This window comes from Homo sapiens, chromosome 16 (assembly GCF_000001405.40).
Source record: "Homo sapiens chromosome 16, GRCh38.p14 Primary Assembly".
NCBI classification, from domain to species: domain Eukaryota; kingdom Metazoa; phylum Chordata; class Mammalia; order Primates; family Hominidae; genus Homo; species Homo sapiens.
The window spans coordinates 77,513,640-77,533,659 of NC_000016.10; the positions used below are offsets into that span (position 1 = coordinate 77,513,640).

The window sequence follows — 20,020 nt, forward strand, 5'->3', positions numbered from 1 at the left end:
TACAGTCGTGAGCCACCGTGCCCAGCCGAGAATGAATATTTGCTAATACACCAAGAATAGTCCGTCCCTTAGATTAAGTGAAGTTTGGGTCAAAAGAGCCACTGGTCATCTTTGACCAGGAATGGGATTACAGAAAGTAGTGTAAGTTATTTTTCTGCAACATGAAAGTATCAATACCTATTTCACAGGATAGCCAAATTTGTTAAACTAGACACTCTGTGTAAAGGGGTTACAGCATAGGCCTGTTTTATAAATGTTTCAGAATAAATGTGTCTCACCGTGTTCAGGCTGCTATAACAAAATACCATAAAGTAACTTATAAACACAGAAATTAATTTCCCACTGCTCTGGAGGCTGGGAAGTCCAAGATCAAGGTGCCAGCAGATTTAGTGAATAGTTAGGGCCTGTTTCCTGTTTCACAGACAGCGCCTTCTTGCTGTGTCCTCACATGGTGGAAGGAATGGGGCAACCCTCTGGAGCCTCTTTTATAAGGGCACTAACCTTATGACCTAATTATCTCCCAAAAGGACCCAACACCTAAGACCATCACCTTGGTGATTGGGACTTCAACCTATGACTTTTGAGGAAACACAAACACAAACATCCAGACCATATCAGGATGCAAGTAGGAAAAGAGATGGATAGGTATGCTCCATGTAGCTCCAGAGCAGAGATACAGGACTGATGTGAGAGCATGACAAGATGGGGAAGTCTGGCTCACATGGGAGAATATATAGGGGGAAGTTCGGCTCATGCGGGGGAATATAGTTAAGAGACTAGGCTCAGAAATCTAACCTTGTGTGACCTTGGGTAAGTACATTGATTTCAGTGAGCTTCTATTTGCTTCTCTGTAAAGTGGAAATACTATTAGTGCCTTTCTCAGTGTACAAATAATTTACACAAAGCAAAATGCTTAGGGAATTGGTCTGACAGATGTTTTAAAAACCCACTCTATAAATGTTAGTTATTATTCTATTATTACTATAATCATTACTAGCAAAGACTAGCCCACACTATTCTCATTCAGAATGTTTTGAGACATAATGAGTTCTCATTATTGGTCATACTTAGCCAGAGCTGGGAAAATCACCATTTAAGAAAGCCATGCCTGGGCTAGAAGGTTGCTAAAACCCCAAGCATCTCATAATTTTCATCGTAACTGGAAGCCAAATTCGTACCTGCTGAAATATGCAGAACTTTCAGAAAGTCCCCCTGCTTTAAATTCTCAACAGAGCCAAGTCATAAAATTGCACTTATTTCTCTGGTCCATTTCTTGGCAGGCAGGCCCTTCAGCATCCTGTAGCAAACTCCCCAAACCTCAGCAATATCTTAGAGCATTTCCCATCACAGTGCCTCCTAATAAAGTGCAAGACAAATTGGTAGCCGGGGGAGAGAAGTGCCTTGTGTTACATTTTGTGTTCTTTTAACTACTCCATCTGTGATTTACAGCTCAACAGAGGGGTAGAGATATTATTCAGGGATGAGGGAGCTGGGTGAGTAAAATGTTGAGAATGAAAGGCAAAGTATCACGTAGTAGCTGCACACACGAAGACACTTGGCTATTTAGTTTGCAGGAAGCAGAAGCTAAGAGAACCAAGGTGATGGAACAGAGGACAGCATTTGAATGTGTGGCTGAATTTACATAAACAAACGGGAAAATTGCACAAGTGCATGACCAGTTTTGCCTGTTAGCTGTAAAATCATGATGAAGGTTATCTCAGGACCCCACACAAAGCTTAGCTTGTTCATCTGTGGACTTAATTCTGATGAAGAAGAAAGAACTCAATAGACATTTTTGTGGGTCTTTCATATACACATCCCCTCAGATGTCAAGTTTATATACTTCTTTTCAAAACTGGAATCTCCCAGATCTGAAACTTCAGGAATAAGGGAGTGATTTTAATGCCTTTAACCAACATTTTGTCAAATGTCTTGTTTATTAATCATTATTCTAAAGGTGCTCATGTATCTTCTTAGCTTTCTCTGTAAAGATTTAACTTTTTATATCAGAAGATCCAAGAACATAATTATGTCTTAGCTAAGAAGTTGATATATTTGTAAATTAAGCTACAAATTGTTTGTACACATACATGGAAGTAAAAACATTCTTTAGAACATCTGATTTTACCTAATTACACTGAGGCATGTTGCATTTCAGATTTTTTTGAAAAAAAGCCAGAGCCCCAACAATTTAACGTAAAATTCTAGTTCGATGATTAAATATCTGCTTGATTGGATACACATAGAACACAATGGGATGGTGAAAGATCAGGGCCTACCTTTCTATGACACAGAAAAAACATATTAAAAGGATCTCAGGGCTGGATATAATACACACCTAAGTCCATCTGTCATATGAGATCATTGTCAATTCACTCCTGGATGTATAGTTTCTGCCTCTGAACTCCATAAAGAACATTTTTGTGGTGGCCAAACTCCATTTATTGATGGATCACTTTCTGTAGACGGGAATCAGAAAACAAATTTAAATCTCCAAATATGACCCATAGCCATACATTATCATGTCAAACAGAAATACATCTGTTCTAAGAATAATGTGGCCAGCTATACTATGTTAAGAAAGTTGGTATTGCTTCTTCATTTTACTCAATCATGATTTGAATTCAGCAAAATACAAAATTACTCAAACATTACTAAGATGACTTGGGTTGATAAATTCATTACCAGGGATGGAAACACAGGATGAAAAGCTTCCTCTTTATGGAAATTGCTGGAGTTCTGAACCTTCACTACTAAGATTTCATCTACACTGTTGTTTCTTCATTGAGCAAATAATTTTCAAATACTATGTTCTAGTTACTAAACTTCTTCAAACTTCAACATGCATTTTTCATTAGATACAATCTAGGGCCAGGCATGGTGGCTCAAACGTGTAATCCCAACACTTTGGAGGCCAAGATGAAAGGATTGCTTGAGGCCAGGAGTTCAAAACCAGCCTGGGCAACATTTCAAGATTCCATCTCTACAAAAAATACAAAAATTAGCTGGATATGGTGGTGTATGCCTGTAGTCCCAGCTACTCAGGAGACTGAGGTAGGAAGATTGCTTGAGCCTGGGAAGTCAAGGCTGCAGTGAGCTGTGAGGGCACCACCTGCAACCCAGTCTTGGTGACAGAGCATGACCCTATATCAAGAAAAAAAGAAAAAGAAAAAAGACCAAAAAAAAAGACAAAATCCAGTTTCGAGGAATAGTGAAGAAAGTAATACAAATAACTAAGATAGAAACAAACAAATTATTCCTTTCACTCAAAAAGGAAAAGCAGGTGTGCTCAGCGAGGGTTAGTCTTGGCATTCCAGTTGGATCCCGCACTTGATGAAGATGACCATAGGTCTTACTTCCCACCCCAACTGACCCATATCCAAAGTGGAGCAGAATGACGGATAGCTCATCCAGAAGTGGGACTCTGAGAAGAGGAGCAAAGAGGCTGACTGGCCCAAGTAGCCATGAAGTAAAAGGAAGAGAGTAGTTAGGATATTTTGGAATAGTTTCTCTACTGACTATCGGGAAAAGACGGTCAGTGCTGAAATCCATGTCATGTGATGCATTTCCATTGAAGGGTGGGGTTGGGACCATTGAAGACAGTGCAGGAGCCATTCTTTCACCTGTCACAACAAAGATTCTGTAATAGAGGATAGGATCTGAACTTAAAATAAGGCCAGGCACTGTGGCTCAGGCTTGTAATTCCAGCACTTTGGGAGGCTGAGGCGGGCAGATCACATGAGGCCAGGAGTTCAAGACCAGCTTGGCAAACACAGAGAAAACATGTCTCTACTAAAAATACAAAAATAAATTAACTCAGTGTGGTGGCGGGCGTCTGTAATCCCAGCTACTTGGGAGTCGGAGGCATGAGAATCGCTTGAATCTGGGAGGCGGAGATAGCAGTGAACCAAGATTGCACCACTGCACTCTAGCCTGGGCAACAAAGTGAGACCCTGTCTCAAATAACAACAACAAAAACAAATGAACTTGAAATAAATGACTATATTATACACTCTTTAGATGCTATATATGCACTTAACCAGGTAATATAAGGTTGTTTAATAGTGGAACAAAGAGGTAATTAAGTCCCTTCTTAAAGGAAAAACCTGAGACCTATTTATTTATTCATTCAATGAATCATGACTAGTTATGAAAAGCAAGAGAAATACCGGGAGCTTTGACTCTGACCCTTCCTGATCTTTCTTAAGCATTAAAAGTCTTCAATACAAGGAGGTTGGGGAAAGGAAAGAGTCAAAGCCCAACCCTGAGCCTTATTCCCTTCCCCAAAGTAGGAAGAAACCAGTAGAATAGAGTATTGGATGAGCCTAGACAACCTCACCCCAGTGAAACGTGGAATGAGAGAAGTCAGGAATTGGAAACAAAGATGCAGCACTTCTTCTGCCTCATTTAGTCATCCTCACTCTACACATGACCACCAGGAATGTCAAATGACAGTTTCCCTGAATATTTTTCATGTGACAATTGGCCTTGTAACAATAAACAAAGTGGCAAAAATAAAATAATTGGTTTTAAACTACTGCTTAATTGCATTCATTTATTAGCTTTACTTGTCTTCTTTGTCTAGTCATCACACGGCCTCCAAATTTGTTAGAGTAATAATAACTTATGATTGAAAATGCTTACAATTTACAAAAGGCTTTTACAAAGAGACCATCCTCCCAATCCTCAGAACAACTCTGGAAATGAGGTATTACTGTTATTTTAACATGATAGATCTGGAAACCTGAGGTTCAGAGAGGTTAGGAGATTTGTCCAAGGAAATACAGTGTTATGCATACATCATGTTTTATCATTTTTTTTGTTTATTTGAGATGGAGTCTTGCTCTGTCACCAGACTGGAGTGCAGCAGTGCAATCTCAGCTCACTGCAACCTCCACCTCCCAGGTTCAAGCAATTCTGCTGCCTCAGCCTTCCAAGTAGCTGGGACTACAGGTGGTGCCACCACACCCAGATAATTTTTTTTATTTTTAGTAGAGACGGGGTTTCTCCTTGTTGGCCAGGATGGTCTCAATCTCCTGACTCTGTGATCTGTCTGCCTCGGCCTACCAAAGTGCTGGGATTACAGATGTGAGCCACTGCACATGACCCACATCATGCTTTTAAGCTGTGCGGTCTCCTTATTCCCATGTTGCTTTGTTAACTGACTATAAAATTTTATGGAATCACGTCACTAGCACCCATCTTAGTATACTCAGTCATCCTGTGTTACACTCATGCAGCCTGACCTTCTGCGAAGAAATGAAATATGGGAGGGAGTGTTCAAAAAGAACCATAGACAGTAGTAGGTAGGAGCTAAACATGGGTGTCAAGTAGATCTAAAATCAAATTATGATTGTGACTCTATTTTTTTTTTTTTTTGAGACAAGTCTCACTCTGTGGCCAGACTGGAGTGCAGTGGTACAATCTCAGCTCACTGGAACCACTGCCTCCTGGGTTCAAGTGATTCTCCTGCCTCAGCCTCCCAAGTAGCTGGGACTACAGGCATGTGCCACCATGCCCAGTTAATTTTTGTATTTTTAGTAGAGATGGAGTTTCCCCATGTTGGCCAGGATGGTCTCAATCTCCTGACCTTGTGATCCGCCTGCCTTGGCCTCCCAAAGTGCTAGGATTACAGTCATGAGCCACCGTGCATGGCCCACATCACACTTTTAAGCTGTGTGGTCTACTTATTCCCATGTTGCTTTGTTAACTGAGTTTAAAATTTTATGGAATCACATCACCAGCGTCCGTCTTAGTATACTCAGTCCTCCTGTGTCACACTCATGCAGCCTGACCTTCTGCAAAAAAATTAAACATGGGAGGGAGTGTTCAAAAAGAACCACAGAGGGTAGTAGGTAGGAGCTAAGCATGGGTGTCCAGCAGATCTAAAATCAAATTATAATTGTAACTCTTGGCAGTAGACGAGTTAGTTTACATCTCTCAGCCTTAGGATTTTACCTGTAAAATGGAGCAAAAACAGTGCCTGCTTCATGGCAGTGTCATGAAGATAAATATGCTAAGCACAGAAACAACTGCATATGCTATTTACAAGATCTCCCAGGCAGGCACTGTATTGACAACATTACAGCAACTGGAAGTGGTAGCAAAACTATCAGCAGTAGCATCACTAGTAGTAGTCCTAGTGACAACAGCAGCAACAATAATAGCAGTAGCATTAAGTAGTAATAATATAATAGTAGTAGTAGCCGTTTTGTAGCAGCAATAGTAATAGTAGTAATAGTAAAGTAGTAATAGGCATCATCGTCCTAGTCATTCTCACAGTATTTATTAGTATTGGTAGCAATAATAGTAGTAGTAATAGAAGGTATCTTTGGCTAAGAGTTCATGATCTCTTAAGTGACATAGAAACAAAGAAGACGAATGTCCATTAAGAAATAGTTGCAGGCCAAGTGTGGCAGCTCATGCCTGTAATCCCACCACTTTTGGAGGCCGAGGCAGGCAGATCACTTGAGACCAGGAGTTTGAGACCAGCCTGGCCAACATGGCAAAACCCCGTCTCTAGTAAATACACAAAAATTAGCTAGGCATGGTGGCATGCACCTGTAATTCCAGCTACTCGGGAGGCTGAGGCTGAAGAATCACTTGAACCCAGGAGGCAGAGGTTGCAGTGAGTGGAGACTGTGCCACTGCACTCCAGCACCTGGGTGACAGAGTGAGACTCCGTTTCAAAAAAAAAAAAGAAAAAAGAAAAAAAAGAGAGAGAGAAACATTTGCAAAGGCCAAACAGAGTTAACAGTTTCTCTAGCTTTGATGGGTATAAAGTTACCTTTGAGGACACCTGATTATAACAGATTTCAGTAGTAGAAAAACATATATTTTACTTCAATAATCAGAAGATACTAATGAACAAAGGAAGTCCCACACAATCACTGGCTTCTATTCCACGGCAGTTAGAACCAGTGGCAGTGAAAGACAATGGTACATTGCACGTCAGCTCCAGACACCTAGACGTCTTCTCTGTACTGCTGATGGGAGTAGCAACCATACAATCATAACCAAGGTAGGTAAAAATCATTGCTTCAAACTCCATTTTTTCCTTTAGTTTCCTCTCGACTAATTTCTGAAAGCAAGTGGGGCCAAATAAACTTTCTGTATAGAGAAGAAAATGCAAAATGAATTTCAATTTCCTGAGTGCCTACGAAACATCTTACCCCATGCTGCGTTTGGTAACCTCATTTGATCATTGCTTATGACTGCGGAAGGAATAAGGGAACCAGGGCCCAAAGAAGTCAAGCAAGACAGACACCATGAGAAACGGGAAACAAGCCTGTCTGAGTTCATATCTTAATGTCTTTCTCACTAATCTATGCTGCTTTCTGAAACTATACTTCGGAAAGCCGTTTGCCATTAAAAATAAGGACATGTCTATTAAGTCACATTGTCTTAGTCAGCTTGGACTACTATAACACCATAGACCAGGTGGCCTATAAGTGACAGAAACTTATTTTATACAATCCTGGAGGCTGAAAGCCCAAGATCAGAGTGCCAGCATTGGACAGGCTCTAGCGAAGGCCCTTTCCTGGGCTGCAGACCACTGACTTCTTGCTGTGTCCTCCCATGGTAGAAGCTGCAAACAAGCTCCCTTGAGCCTATTTTATAAGAAAGTTAATCTCATTCACAATAGTTCTGCCCTCATGACCTAATTATCTCCCAAAAGGCCCCACCTTCTATTACTATCACATTAGTGATTAGATTGCAACATATGAATTTTGAGGGCATGCAAATATTCAGACCAGCATACACATGTAACTTCGAATTTAAATTGCAATCAGCATTGTAGCTATGAGTGCCCAGTCATATATTCTCATCGCTAAAGTGCTCACTGGGTTCTGCCTTAGGATTTTTTTTGTTTTGTTTTTTTGTTTGTTTGTTTTGAGATGGGGTCCAGATCTGTCCCCCAGGCTGTAGTGCAGTGGCACGATCTTGGCTCACTGCAACCTTCGCCTTCCTGGGTTCAAGCAATTCTCCTGCCTCAGCCTCCTGAGTAGCTGTGATTACAGGTGTGCGCCACCGTGCCTGGCTAATTTTTGTATTTTTAGTAGAGAAGAGGTTTCACAATGTTGGCCAGGCTGGTCTTGAGCTCCTGATCTCCACTGATCCACCTGCCTCGGCCTCTCAAAGTGTTGGGATTACAGGCGTGAGCCACTGTGCCTGGTCTGCCTCAGGACCTCCTTCAGCTGCTGAAGCCCAATTTACCTGCCCATCTGTAAGTGCAGGAAGTCAGAAGTACAAGGAAACAAATCCCACTGGGAACATCCCCCAGCCAATGACTGAGGAGAGTTAGTGAATAAATACCCTGACTTCCTCATTCACGGGAGAGACACATGGAGGTGTTTGTTGTACATTGGCCGTCAGAGTTCCCAAGCAAGACTAACATCCAGTGGTCACAGGAGTTACTGCCTTGGAAACGTGTCTGTTATTAACTGCCTTCCTTTTTCTATCTCACCTGCCCACACTTCTACTGGTATTTCTTTCCTCTCCCTAGTAAATTTCTTCTACTTAAATTCTTGCTCAGTGTCTGCTTCGAGGGGAGCCCAAACTAAAGCAAGTATCAGAGCAGCTTTGGTCTATGTGTGAACTGTGTTCTTAAATTCCATCCTACAACTGTAGGATCCCACCCATTTTTCTAAACCCTTCTGTATTTTTTTTATTAGCCAGAATCATGCCCAAGAAATTGCTGCTTAAACTTAAATATAACACATTATTGTCACAATTTCATTATTTTGAGAGAACACTGTAGACTCTATTTGGGTTTTTGCAGCTTCTAAAATTTCTATCAATTTTTCCATTGTTTCAAGTACAGGATTAATTATTACCAGCTTTCTAAAGAAAAAGACTACCTGACTTCAAACTATACTACAAGGCTACAGTAACCAAAACAGCATGGTACTGGTACCAAAACAGAGATATGGATCAATGGAACAGAACAGAGCCCTCAGAAATAACGCCACATATCTACAACTATCTGATCTTTGACACACCTGAGAAAAACAAGCAATGGGGAAAAGATTCCCTATTTAATAAATGGTGCTGGGAAAACTGGCTAGCCATATGTAGAAAGCTGAAACTGGATCCCTTCCTTACACCTTATACAAAAATCAATTCAAGATAGATTAAAGACTTAAACGTTAGGCCTAAAACCATAAAAACCCTAGAAGAAAACCTAGGCATTACCATTCAGGACATAGGCATGGGCAAGGACTTCATGTCTAAAACACCAAAAGCAATGGCAACAAAAGCCAAAATTGACAAATGGGATCTAATTAAACTAAAGAGCTTCTGCACAGCGAAAGAAACTACCATCAGAGTGAACAGGCAACCTACAAAATGGGAGAAAATTTTCGCAACCTACTCATCTGACAAAGGGCTAATATCCAGAATCTACAATGAACTCAAACAAATTTACAAGAAAAAAACAAACAACCCCATCAAAAAGTGGGCAAAGGACATGAACAGACACTTCTCAAAAGAAGACATTTATGCAGCCAAAAAACACGTGAAAAAATGCTCACCATCACTGGCATCAGAGAAATGCAAATCAAAACCACAAAGAGATACCATCTCACGCCAGTTAGAAAGGCAATCATTAAAAAGCCAGGAAACAACAGGTGCTGGAGAGGATGTGGAGAAATAGGAACACTTTCACACTGTTGGTGGGACTGTCAACTAGTTCAACCATTGTGGAAGTCAGTGTGGCGATTCCTCAGGGATCTAGAACTAGAAATACCATTTGACCCAGCCATCCCATTACTGGGTATATACCCAAAACACTATAAATCATGCTGCTATAAAGACACATGCACACGTATGTTTATTGCGGCATTATTCACAATAGCAAAGACTTGGAACCAACCCAAATGTCCAACAATGATAGACTGGATTAAGAAAATGTGCCACATATGTACCATGGAATACTATGCAGCCATAAAAAATGATGAGTTCATGTCCTTTGTAGGGACATGGGTGAAATTGGAAATCATCATTCTCAGTAAACTATTGCAAGAACAAAAAACCAAACACCGCATATTCTCACTCATAGGTGGGAATTGAACAATGAGAACACATGGACACAGGAAGGGGAACATCACACTCTGGGGACTGTTGTGGGGTAGGGGGGAGCGGGGGGGGGGAGCGGGGAGGGATAGCATTGGGAGATATAACTAATGCTAGATGACGAGTTAGTGGGTGCAGCACACCAGCATGGCACATGTATACATATGTAACTAACCTGCACATTGTGCACATGTACCCTAAAACTTAAAGTATAATAATAATAAATAAATAAATTTTTTAAAAAAAGGAAAAAGAAAAAGAAAAAAATACGATCCAAAACATTTCATATGTAGCACAAATCTGAGTTAAGGGAAAAAAAAGATCTCAGCCTTCCAACTATGTATCAGAGTGAAAACCAGCCGTAAGAGCAAGACAGAGGGGAAGATGAATGGGGCTGGTGGTGGTGTGGACAGGAGAGCACATTCACTCAAATTTTTGGATGGGTGGGGGAGGTGTATTCATAGCCCTTCGGGTGCAGGTAGGGTCTTTATGGACAATGGTCTTTGAGGAGAATGTTCTTAACAAAACTGAGAAATAAAAGGATGGAAAGAGAACATATATTGTGTTTTTACTTTTTAGGGATTAAAGGATCTTCCAGGTACTTTATGTATCCTATTATAGGAATTATGTATGTACTCTATTATAGCAATATTCTATTATAGCAATATTACTATTATACATAAGGCTTCTATAAGGACCATGATCACCATTTACATGGGCTAGAATAGCCTGAGAGAATATAATGTAGTTAATAAGACATTTAACAAGTGGCAAAGCTGGAGTTCAAAACCCAAATGTAATAGATTCTAAAGCCCATTAACATCAACAATAAACTACTGCCCCAGCAAAACTGCATGGAAATTACGTCACATCACAGTTTGTGAAGAACTTCCATTAAGGCTGAGAAAGAGAAAGAGAGGTGTTGACAGCAAGGGACTGGTCTGCGTCTATTAGCCAAAGCTTGGCATTGGTAAGAAGTGCCCAGTATGCATAGCTAGGTTGTGATACTTTCCTGTAAAATGATTTCACAGAACACTAACATTAAGAAAGACCATGATGAGAAAATAACCATGAAAGAGCAAGACGAAGATAAGACCAGTCTACACTCATGCCTGAGAAAGATAAAAGTATATTCTCCAATAATAATAATAATTAATTTAAAAGACCAAACAACATCCTTTCCTGGCTAATACAAGTAATTACTAATGCTACCCTTTGTTCTACTTGCCTTCTAGATAGGAATTAATAAAATAACCAGTCATTCCAAGATGGCCAAGTAGGAATAGCTTTGGTCTGCAGCTCCTAGCGTGATTGACACAGAAGATGGGTGATTTCTGCATTTCCCACTGAGGTACCCGGTTCATCTCATCAGGACTGGTTGGACAGTGGGTGCAGCCCATGAAGGGCGAGCCAAAGCAGGGTGGGGCGTCACCTCAGTCAGGAAACACAAGTGGTCAGGGGATTTCCCTTTCCTACCCAAGGGAAGTCCTGACAGACTGCACCTGGAAAAACGGGACACTTCCACCCCAATACCGCACTTTTCCCAAGGTCTTAGCAACCAGCAGAGTAGGAGATCTTCCCCTGTACCTGGCTCGGCAGGTCCCATGCCCATGGAGCCTTGCTTACTGCTAGTGCAGCAGTCTGAGATGGACCTGCATGGCTGCAGCTGGTGGAGGGGAAGGGCGCCTGCTATTGCTGAGGCTTGAGTAGGTAAACAAAGCGGCCGGGAAGCTTGAACTGGGCAGAGTCCACCACAGCTCAGCAAGGCCTACTGCCTCTATAGACTCCACCTCTGTGAGCAGGGCATAACTGAACAAAAGGCAGCAGAAACTTCTGCAGACTTAAATGGCCCTGTCTGACAGCTCTGAAGAGAGCAGTGGTTCTCCCAGCACGGCATTTGAGCTCTGAGAATGGAGAGACTGCCTCCTCAAGTGGCCCTTGTAGCCTAACTGGGAGACACCTCCCAGTAGGGGCCGAGAAACACCTCATACAGCCAGGTACCCCTCTGGGACAAAGCTTCCAGAGGAAGGATCAGGCAGCAATATTGCCTGTTTTGCAATATTTGCTCTTCTGCAGCCTCCGCTGGTGATACCCAAAAAACAGGGTCTGGAGTGGACCTCCAGAAAACTCCAACAGACCTGCAGCTGAGGGACCTGACTGTTACAAGGAAAACTAACAAACAGAAAGGAATAGCATCAACATCAACAAAAAGGACATCCACACCAAAATCTCATTTGTAGGTCACCAACATCAAAGACCAAAGGTAGATAAAACCATAAAGATGGGGAGAAACTAGAGCAGAAAAGCTGAAAATTCTAAAAACCAGAGCACCTCTTCTCTTCCAAAGGATAGCAGCTCCTTGCCAGCAATGGAACAAAGCTGGATGGTGAATGACTTTGATGAGTTGACAGAAGTAGGCTTCCGAAGGTCGGTAATAAGAAACTTCTCTGAGCTAAAGGACATGTTCTAACCCATCACAAGGAAGCTAAAAACCTTGAAAAAAGATTAGACGAATGGCTAACTAGAATAAACAGTGTAAAGAAGTCCTTAAATGACCTGATGGAGCTGAAAACCATGGCACGAGAACTTCGTGATGCATGCACAAGCTTCAATAGCCAATTCAATCAAGTGGAAGAAAGGGTATCAGTGACTGAAGATCAAATTAATGAAATAAAGCAAGACAACAAGTTTAGAGAAAAAAGAGTAAACAGAAATGAACAAAGCCTCCAAGAAATATGGGACTATGTGAAAAGACCAAATCTACGTTTGATTGGTGTACCTGAAAGTGACAGAGAGAATGGAACCCAGTTGGAAAACACTCTGCAGGATATTATCCAGGAGAACTTCCCTAACCTAGTAAGGCAGGCCAACATTGGAATTCAGGAAACATAGAGAACACCACAAAGATACTACTCGAGAAGAACTACCCCGAGACACATAATTGTCAGATTCACCAAGGTTGAAATGAAGGAAAAAATGTTAAGGGCAGCCAGAGAGAAAGGTCAGGTTACCCACAAAGGGAAGCCCATCAGACTAACAGCAGATCTCTCAGCAGAAACATTGCAAGCCAGAAGACAGTGGGGGCCAATATTCAACATCCTTAAAGCAAAGAATTTTCTACCCAGAATTTCATATCCAGCCAAACTAGCTTCATAACTGAAGGAGAAATAAAATCCTTTACAGACAAGCAAATGCTGAGAAATTTTGTCACCACCAGGCCTGCCTTACAAGAGATCCTGAAGGAAGCACTAAACATGGAAAGGAACAACTGGAACCAGCCACTGCAAAAACATGCCAAATTGTAAAGACTACCAATGCTAGGAAGAAACTACATCAATTAATGGGCAAAATAACCAGCTAACATCATAATGACAGGATCAAATTCACACATAACAATATTAACCTTAAATGTAAATGGGCTAAATGTACCAATTAAAATACACAGACTGGCAAATCGGATAAAGAGTCAAGACCCATCAGTGTACTGTATTCAGGAAACCCATCTCACATGCAGAGACACACATAGGCTCAAAATAAAGGGATGGAGGAAGATCTACCAAGCAAATGGAAAACAAAAAAAAGGAGGGGTTGCAATCCCAGTCTCTGATAAAACAAACTTTAAACCAACAAAGATCCAAAGAGACAAAGAAGGCCATTACATAATGGTAAAGGGATCAATTCAACAAGAAAAGCTAACTATCCTAAATACATATGCACCCAATACAGGAGCACCCAGATTCATAAAGCAAGTCCTTAGAGACCTACAAAGAGACTTAGACTCCCACACAATAATGATGGGAGACTTTAACACCCCACTGTCAATATTAGACCAATCAATGAGGCAGAAGGTTAACAAGCATATCCAGGACTTGAACTCAGCTCTGCACCAAGCAGACCTAACAGACATCTACAGAACTCTCCACCCTAAATCAACAGAATATATATTCTTCTCAGCACCACATCACACTTATTCTAAAATTGACCACATAATTGGAAGTAAAGCACTCCTCAGTAAATGTAAAAGAACAGAAATCACAACAAACTGTCTCTCAGATCACAGGGCAATCAAACTGGAACTCAGGATTAAGAAACTCATTCAAAACCGCACAACTACATGGAAACTGAACAACCTGCTCCTGAATGACTACTGGGTAAGTAACGAAATGAAGGCAGAAATAAAGATGTTCTTTGAAATCAGTGAGAACAGAGACACAACATACCAGAATCTCTGGGACACATTTAAAGCAGTGTGTAGACGGAAATTTATAGCACTAAATGCCCATAAGAGAAAGCAGGAAAGATCTAAAATCAGCACCCTGACATCACAATTAAAAGAACTAGAGAAGCAAGAGCAAACACATTCAAAAGCTAGCAGAAGGCAAGAAATAACTAAGTTCAGAGCAGAACTGAAGGAGATAGAGACACAAAAAACCCTTCAAAAAAATCAGTGAATCCAGGAGCTAGTTTTTTGAAAAGTTGAAGAAAATCAATAGACCACGAGCAAGACTAATAAAGAAGAAAATAGAGACGAATCAAATAGACGCAATAAAAAAATGATAAAGGGGATATCATCACCGATCCCACAGAAATACAAACTACCATCAGAGAATACTATAAACACCTCTAGGCAAATAAACTAGAAAATCTAGAAGAAATGGATAAATTCCTGGACACATACACCCACCCAAGACTAAACCAAAAAGAAGTTGAATCTCTGAATAGACGAATAACAGGCTCTGAAATTGAGACAATAATTAATAGCCTACCAACCAAAAAAAAGTCCAGGACCAAATGGATTCACAACTGAATTCTACCAGAGGTATAAAGAGGAACTGGTACCAATCCTCCTGAAACTATTCCAATCAACAGAAAAAGAGGGAATCCTCCCTAACTCATTTTATGAGGCCAGCATCATCCTGATACCAAAGCCTGGCAGAGACACAACAAAAAAAGAGAATTTTAGACCAATATCCCTGATGAACATCGATGCGAAAATCCTCCATAAAATACTGGCAAACTGAATCCAGCAGCACATCAAAAAGCTTATCCACCATGATCAAGTTGGCTTCATCCCCAGCAAGGCTGGTTCAACATATGCAAATCAATAAATGTAATCCATCACATAAACAGAACCAACGACAAAAACCACATGATTATCTCAATAGATGCAGAAAAGGCCTTTGACAAAATTCAACAGCCTGTCATGCTAAAAACTTTCAACAAGCTAGGTATTGATGGAACATATCTCAAAATAATAAGAGCTACTTATGACAAACCCACAGCCAGTATCATACTGAATGGGCAAAAACTGGAAGCATTCCTTTTGAAAACTGACACAAGACAGGGATGCCCTCTCTCACCACTCCTATTCAACATAGTGTTGGAAGTTCTGCCTGGGGCAATCAGGAAAGGGAAAGAAATAAAAGATATTCAATTAGGAAAAGAGGAAGTCAAATTGTCCCTGTTTGCAGATGACATGATTGTATATTTAGAAAACCCCATCATCTCAGCCCAAAATCTCCTTAAGCTGATCCACAACTTCAGCAAAGTCTCAGGATACAAAATCAATGTGCAAAAATCACAAGCATTCCTATGCATCAATAATAGACAAACAGCCAAATCATGAGTGAACTCCCATTCACAATTGCTTCAAAGATAATAAATACCTAGGAATCCAACTTACTAGGGATGTGAAGGACCTCTTCAAGGAGAACTACAAACCACTGCTCCATGAAATAAAGGAGGTCACAAACAAATGGAAGAACATTCTATGTTCATGGATGCGAAGAATCAATATCGTGAAAACAGCCATACGACCCAAGGTAATTTATAGATTCAATGCCATCCCCATCAAGCTACCAATGACTTTCTTCAAAGAATTGGAAAAAACTACTTTAAAGATCATATGGAACCAAAAAAGAGCCCACATTGCCAAGACAATCCTAAGCAAAAAGAACAAAGCTGGAGGCGTCACGCTACCTGACTTCACACTATACTACAAGGCTACAGTAACCAAAACAGCATGGTACTGGTACCAAAACAGACATATAGACCAATGGAATAGAACAGAGGCCTCAGAAATAACACCGCACATCTACAACCATCTGATCTTTGACAAACCTGACAAAAACAAGAAATGGGGAAACGATTCCCTATTTAATAAATAGTGTTGGGAAAACTGGCTAGCTATATGTAGAAAGCTGAAATTGGATCCCTTCCTTACACCTTATACAAAAATTAATTCAAAATGGATTAAGGACTTAAGTGTTAGACCTAAAGCCATAAAAACCCTAGAAGAAAACCTAGGCAATACCATTCAGGACACAGGCATGGGCAAGGACTTCATGACTAAAAAACCAAAAGAAATGGCAACAAAAGCCAAAATTGACAAATGGGATCTAATTAAACTAAATAGTTTCTGCATGGCAAAACAAACTACCATCAGAGTGAACAGGCAGCCTACAGAATGGGAGACAATTTTTGCAATCTACCCATCTGACAAAGGCCTAATATCCAGAATCTACAAGGAACTTAAACAAATTTACAAGAAAAAAACAACCCCATCAAAAAGTGGGCAAAGGATATTAACAGACACTTCTCAAAAAAGACATTTATGCAGCCAACAGATACATGAAAAAATGCTCATCATCACTGATCATGAGAGAAATGCAAATCAAAACCACAATGAGATACCATCTCATGCCAGTTAGAATGCTGATCATTAAAAAGTCAGGAAACAACAGATATTGGAGAGGATGTGGAGAAATAGGAACGCTTTTACACCGTCAGTGGGAGTGTAAATTAGTTCAACCATTGTGGAAGTCAGTGTGGCGATTCCTCAAGAATCTAGAACTAGAAATACCATTTGACCCAGCAATCCCATTACTGGGTATATACCCAAAGGATTATAAATCATGCTGCTATAAAGATACATGCACACATATGTTTATTGCAGCACTAATCACAATAGCAAAGACTTGGAACCAACCAAATGTCCATCAATGACAGACTGGATTAAGAAAATGTGGCACATATACACTATGGAATACTATGCAGCCATAAAAAATGGATGAGTTCATGTCCTTTGCAGGGACATGGATGAAGTTGGAAACCATCATTCTCAGCAAACTATCACAACGACAGAAAACCAAACAGTGCATGTTCTCACTCACAGGTGGGAATTGAACAAACCTGCACGTTGTGCACATGTACCCTAGAACTTAAATTTTTTAAAAAAGGAAAAAAATCACTGAATAAAACCTTACTATGGATGAAAAAATTAAAAAATAAAATAAAATAAAAACCAATCGTAGAATTACCTTCCATCCTGAGAGCATCAAATCCAGGGTAAAGACCACTTCCTTGAAGCCTCCCCCAAATCACCTAATACAAGTCTGTAAGTCTTTTCAAGCAACTTCTGAGAAAACCCACAGTTTTGTATGAAGTGCATTCACCGTCATCACAACAACTTAGTAAACCCAACTTTGTCAATACAGCTATGTTTCCAACAGACTTTGGCTGAAAGACATTGAGAGTATATTGATTAATTCAACCAACATTTTCTGAGTCAAACAAAGTGAATTATGTATCTTCGTTTCCCCTACAGAAATGGACATAAATCCTGTATCTGTAATAGGTGAACAGTGACATATGTTCTAAACTCAAAAGCAATTTTTAAATGTACAAAGAAAATATTAATAGATTTAATAACATCTATATTCAAAACTCTTCTTGCTGAGTTTACAACAAAATCATAGTAAACATTGTTCCTAAATGTTTCCACAAAAAAAGAGAATGGGAGAGGAGTCCTCGGGAAAACATATGGAAACAAAGAAAAGAGAGGATAGAACAGTAATTATTGAGGTTTCCCCTGACAGTAAGGTTTGGGACAAGGACTTGAGGCAGTTGAAGTCTCAGGGAGCAGAAGTGAGCACCCAGGAAAAGTTGGGGGAAGAAGAAAGCCCATGTTAACAGTGTCATGAAAGTCATCAAGGTCGCCACTAAGGACACTTGAAACTCGATCTTACCCAGATCTTTTTTAGAATGGCATAGAATATATTGCCTACTCAAGGATTGGCCAAGAGAAGTATCATTCCATTTACTCTCATCCCCCATTTGGTTGAGTCTGTCTGTGGTGACATTAATACTCATGAATTCAAAACCTTCTTGCCCTTAATCAGTAGCACCTGTTGCATCTGCAAACAATGAGAAACTCTGGGAAAAAAAAAAAATGCAAGTCCCATTACTCATGCTAAAGATGAGTCACCGTCAGTGTGAACTGAGTCCAAAACTACACAAACTGTCCACAGCCAACATCACTGATGAGGCTGAATGGGTCTGAGTCTAGGGACCAGGGACATCTGCTGTGCAGGGTGAAAGAAGCTATAGCTCAGATATGTGAATGGGGCACCTGCCTAAGAGGAAAGCTTTAGCCTAACAGAACCTTGTGCAGTCTTGAGACCTATAAATACCAGGTATCATTAAGAGCTGGAGGAATAAATAGGTTGAAAATGGAGGGATGGGTGATGGAAAAAGACCTTAATTAAAATTCTATGTACAGATGTCATCCTTCCTTACAGAAAACCTTATTTTTCTTCACTTTATAGTATCTAGCACTCCCCAGTGTGATGGCTACTCACTGATTGATCACTTCACCCTGATACCCAGAACTTTAAATTGATATTAAATTTCAATCATTAGATAGTTGAGAAAAGGGTTCCATATTCTCAAAAACTAGAGAAGATAAATAAAATAAAAAAAGAAATGACCCTGGGGAAAACAGATAATGCAGAGAACAAAAGAGAATTTTAAAAGCAAATTCTTGTTAACGTTTCTGTGAGATTTGAAACTTAGAATATTAATAAAACATGCACAAAATTTGTTTAAGTTCCTAATATATGCTAGATATTAGACCTTTGTCAGAAGCAGTTTGCAAAAATGTTCTCCCATTCTGTATGTTGTCCATTTAATCTATTGGTAGTTTCTCTTGCTGTGCAGGTGCTCTTTATTTTAATTCGACCCCATTTGTCAATTTTTGCTTTTGTTTTAATTGCTTTTGTTGTCTTTGTCATGAAATTTTTGTATGTAACAGACCTGCACTTGTATCCCTGAATTTAAAAGTCAAAAGATAAGAATAAACATCGGTTAAAAATGCACAAAAAAAAAAAACAACAGAGAACAAAAAATGCCTTGAGAAATTAAAAAGTATGTCTGTCCATCCCCATCCCCAGAAGAGTCTACAGTAAGGTTAAGGAAGTCTTCAAGAAAATAAACTGAAAAGACAAACAGGCACAAGGAAGGGAGATATATCTATTTCCTCAGACAAGTGACAGTATCAACACAGAAGTTACGATATCTAACTTAGAGCATTTTCAAAAAGGTGACAAAGAGAGTATCTATTTCTAAATTTCACCAAGATGCTCTTTGGCATAGGTATTTTAAAATTCATTATGAAGGATCATTGGTCGATTTTCCTACCTGAAAACATGGTGAAATTAATGAATACAGCTATAGGTAAACTAGAAAATGTACTCATCAAAATTGATAACAAGAGCCTCAAAATCTCAAATTTTTTAGAAAATGAAAAATTGAAATGAGATTTTCTTTTTTACTTATCAAATAAACTAAGCTTTTAAAAGTTGAAATGGTCAGTTTGGGCAAAAGAAGACTGGAATAGATACGGTTATTCTCTTTTCATAAGAGTGCAAACTGATAGAAATTATCCAGAAAAAAAAATTTATAACGTGCATAAAATCCTTCAAAAAAAACTCATGTCCCTTGCTTTCCTCTAAATCTATCTATCCTAAGAAAGTTAAACTTAAATCTTTTTGTAACAAAAATATTTACACAGACAAAGAAAGGGGAAAAAACTCAGACAGAGATATATGTAGAAAAATGTTTATTATTTTGGCATAAACATGGGAAACAATCTAGACATCTAACAAGT

General features: G+C 39.8%; 1 long non-coding RNA gene across 2 annotated transcripts in view; it reads right to left on the reverse strand.

Moving 5' to 3' along the window:
- Window positions 1–2,510, reverse strand: part of LOC105376775 (uncharacterized) — a 53,183-nt gene extending 50,673 nt beyond the window's left edge. For both annotated transcript variants that reach the window (XR_933752.3, XR_933753.3), the window contains exon 1: window positions 2,339–2,510. This is a non-coding gene — a long non-coding RNA (uncharacterized LOC105376775). The remainder of the gene's footprint in view (window positions 1–2,338) is intronic.
- Window positions 2,511–20,020: the final 17,510 nt, after the last annotated feature.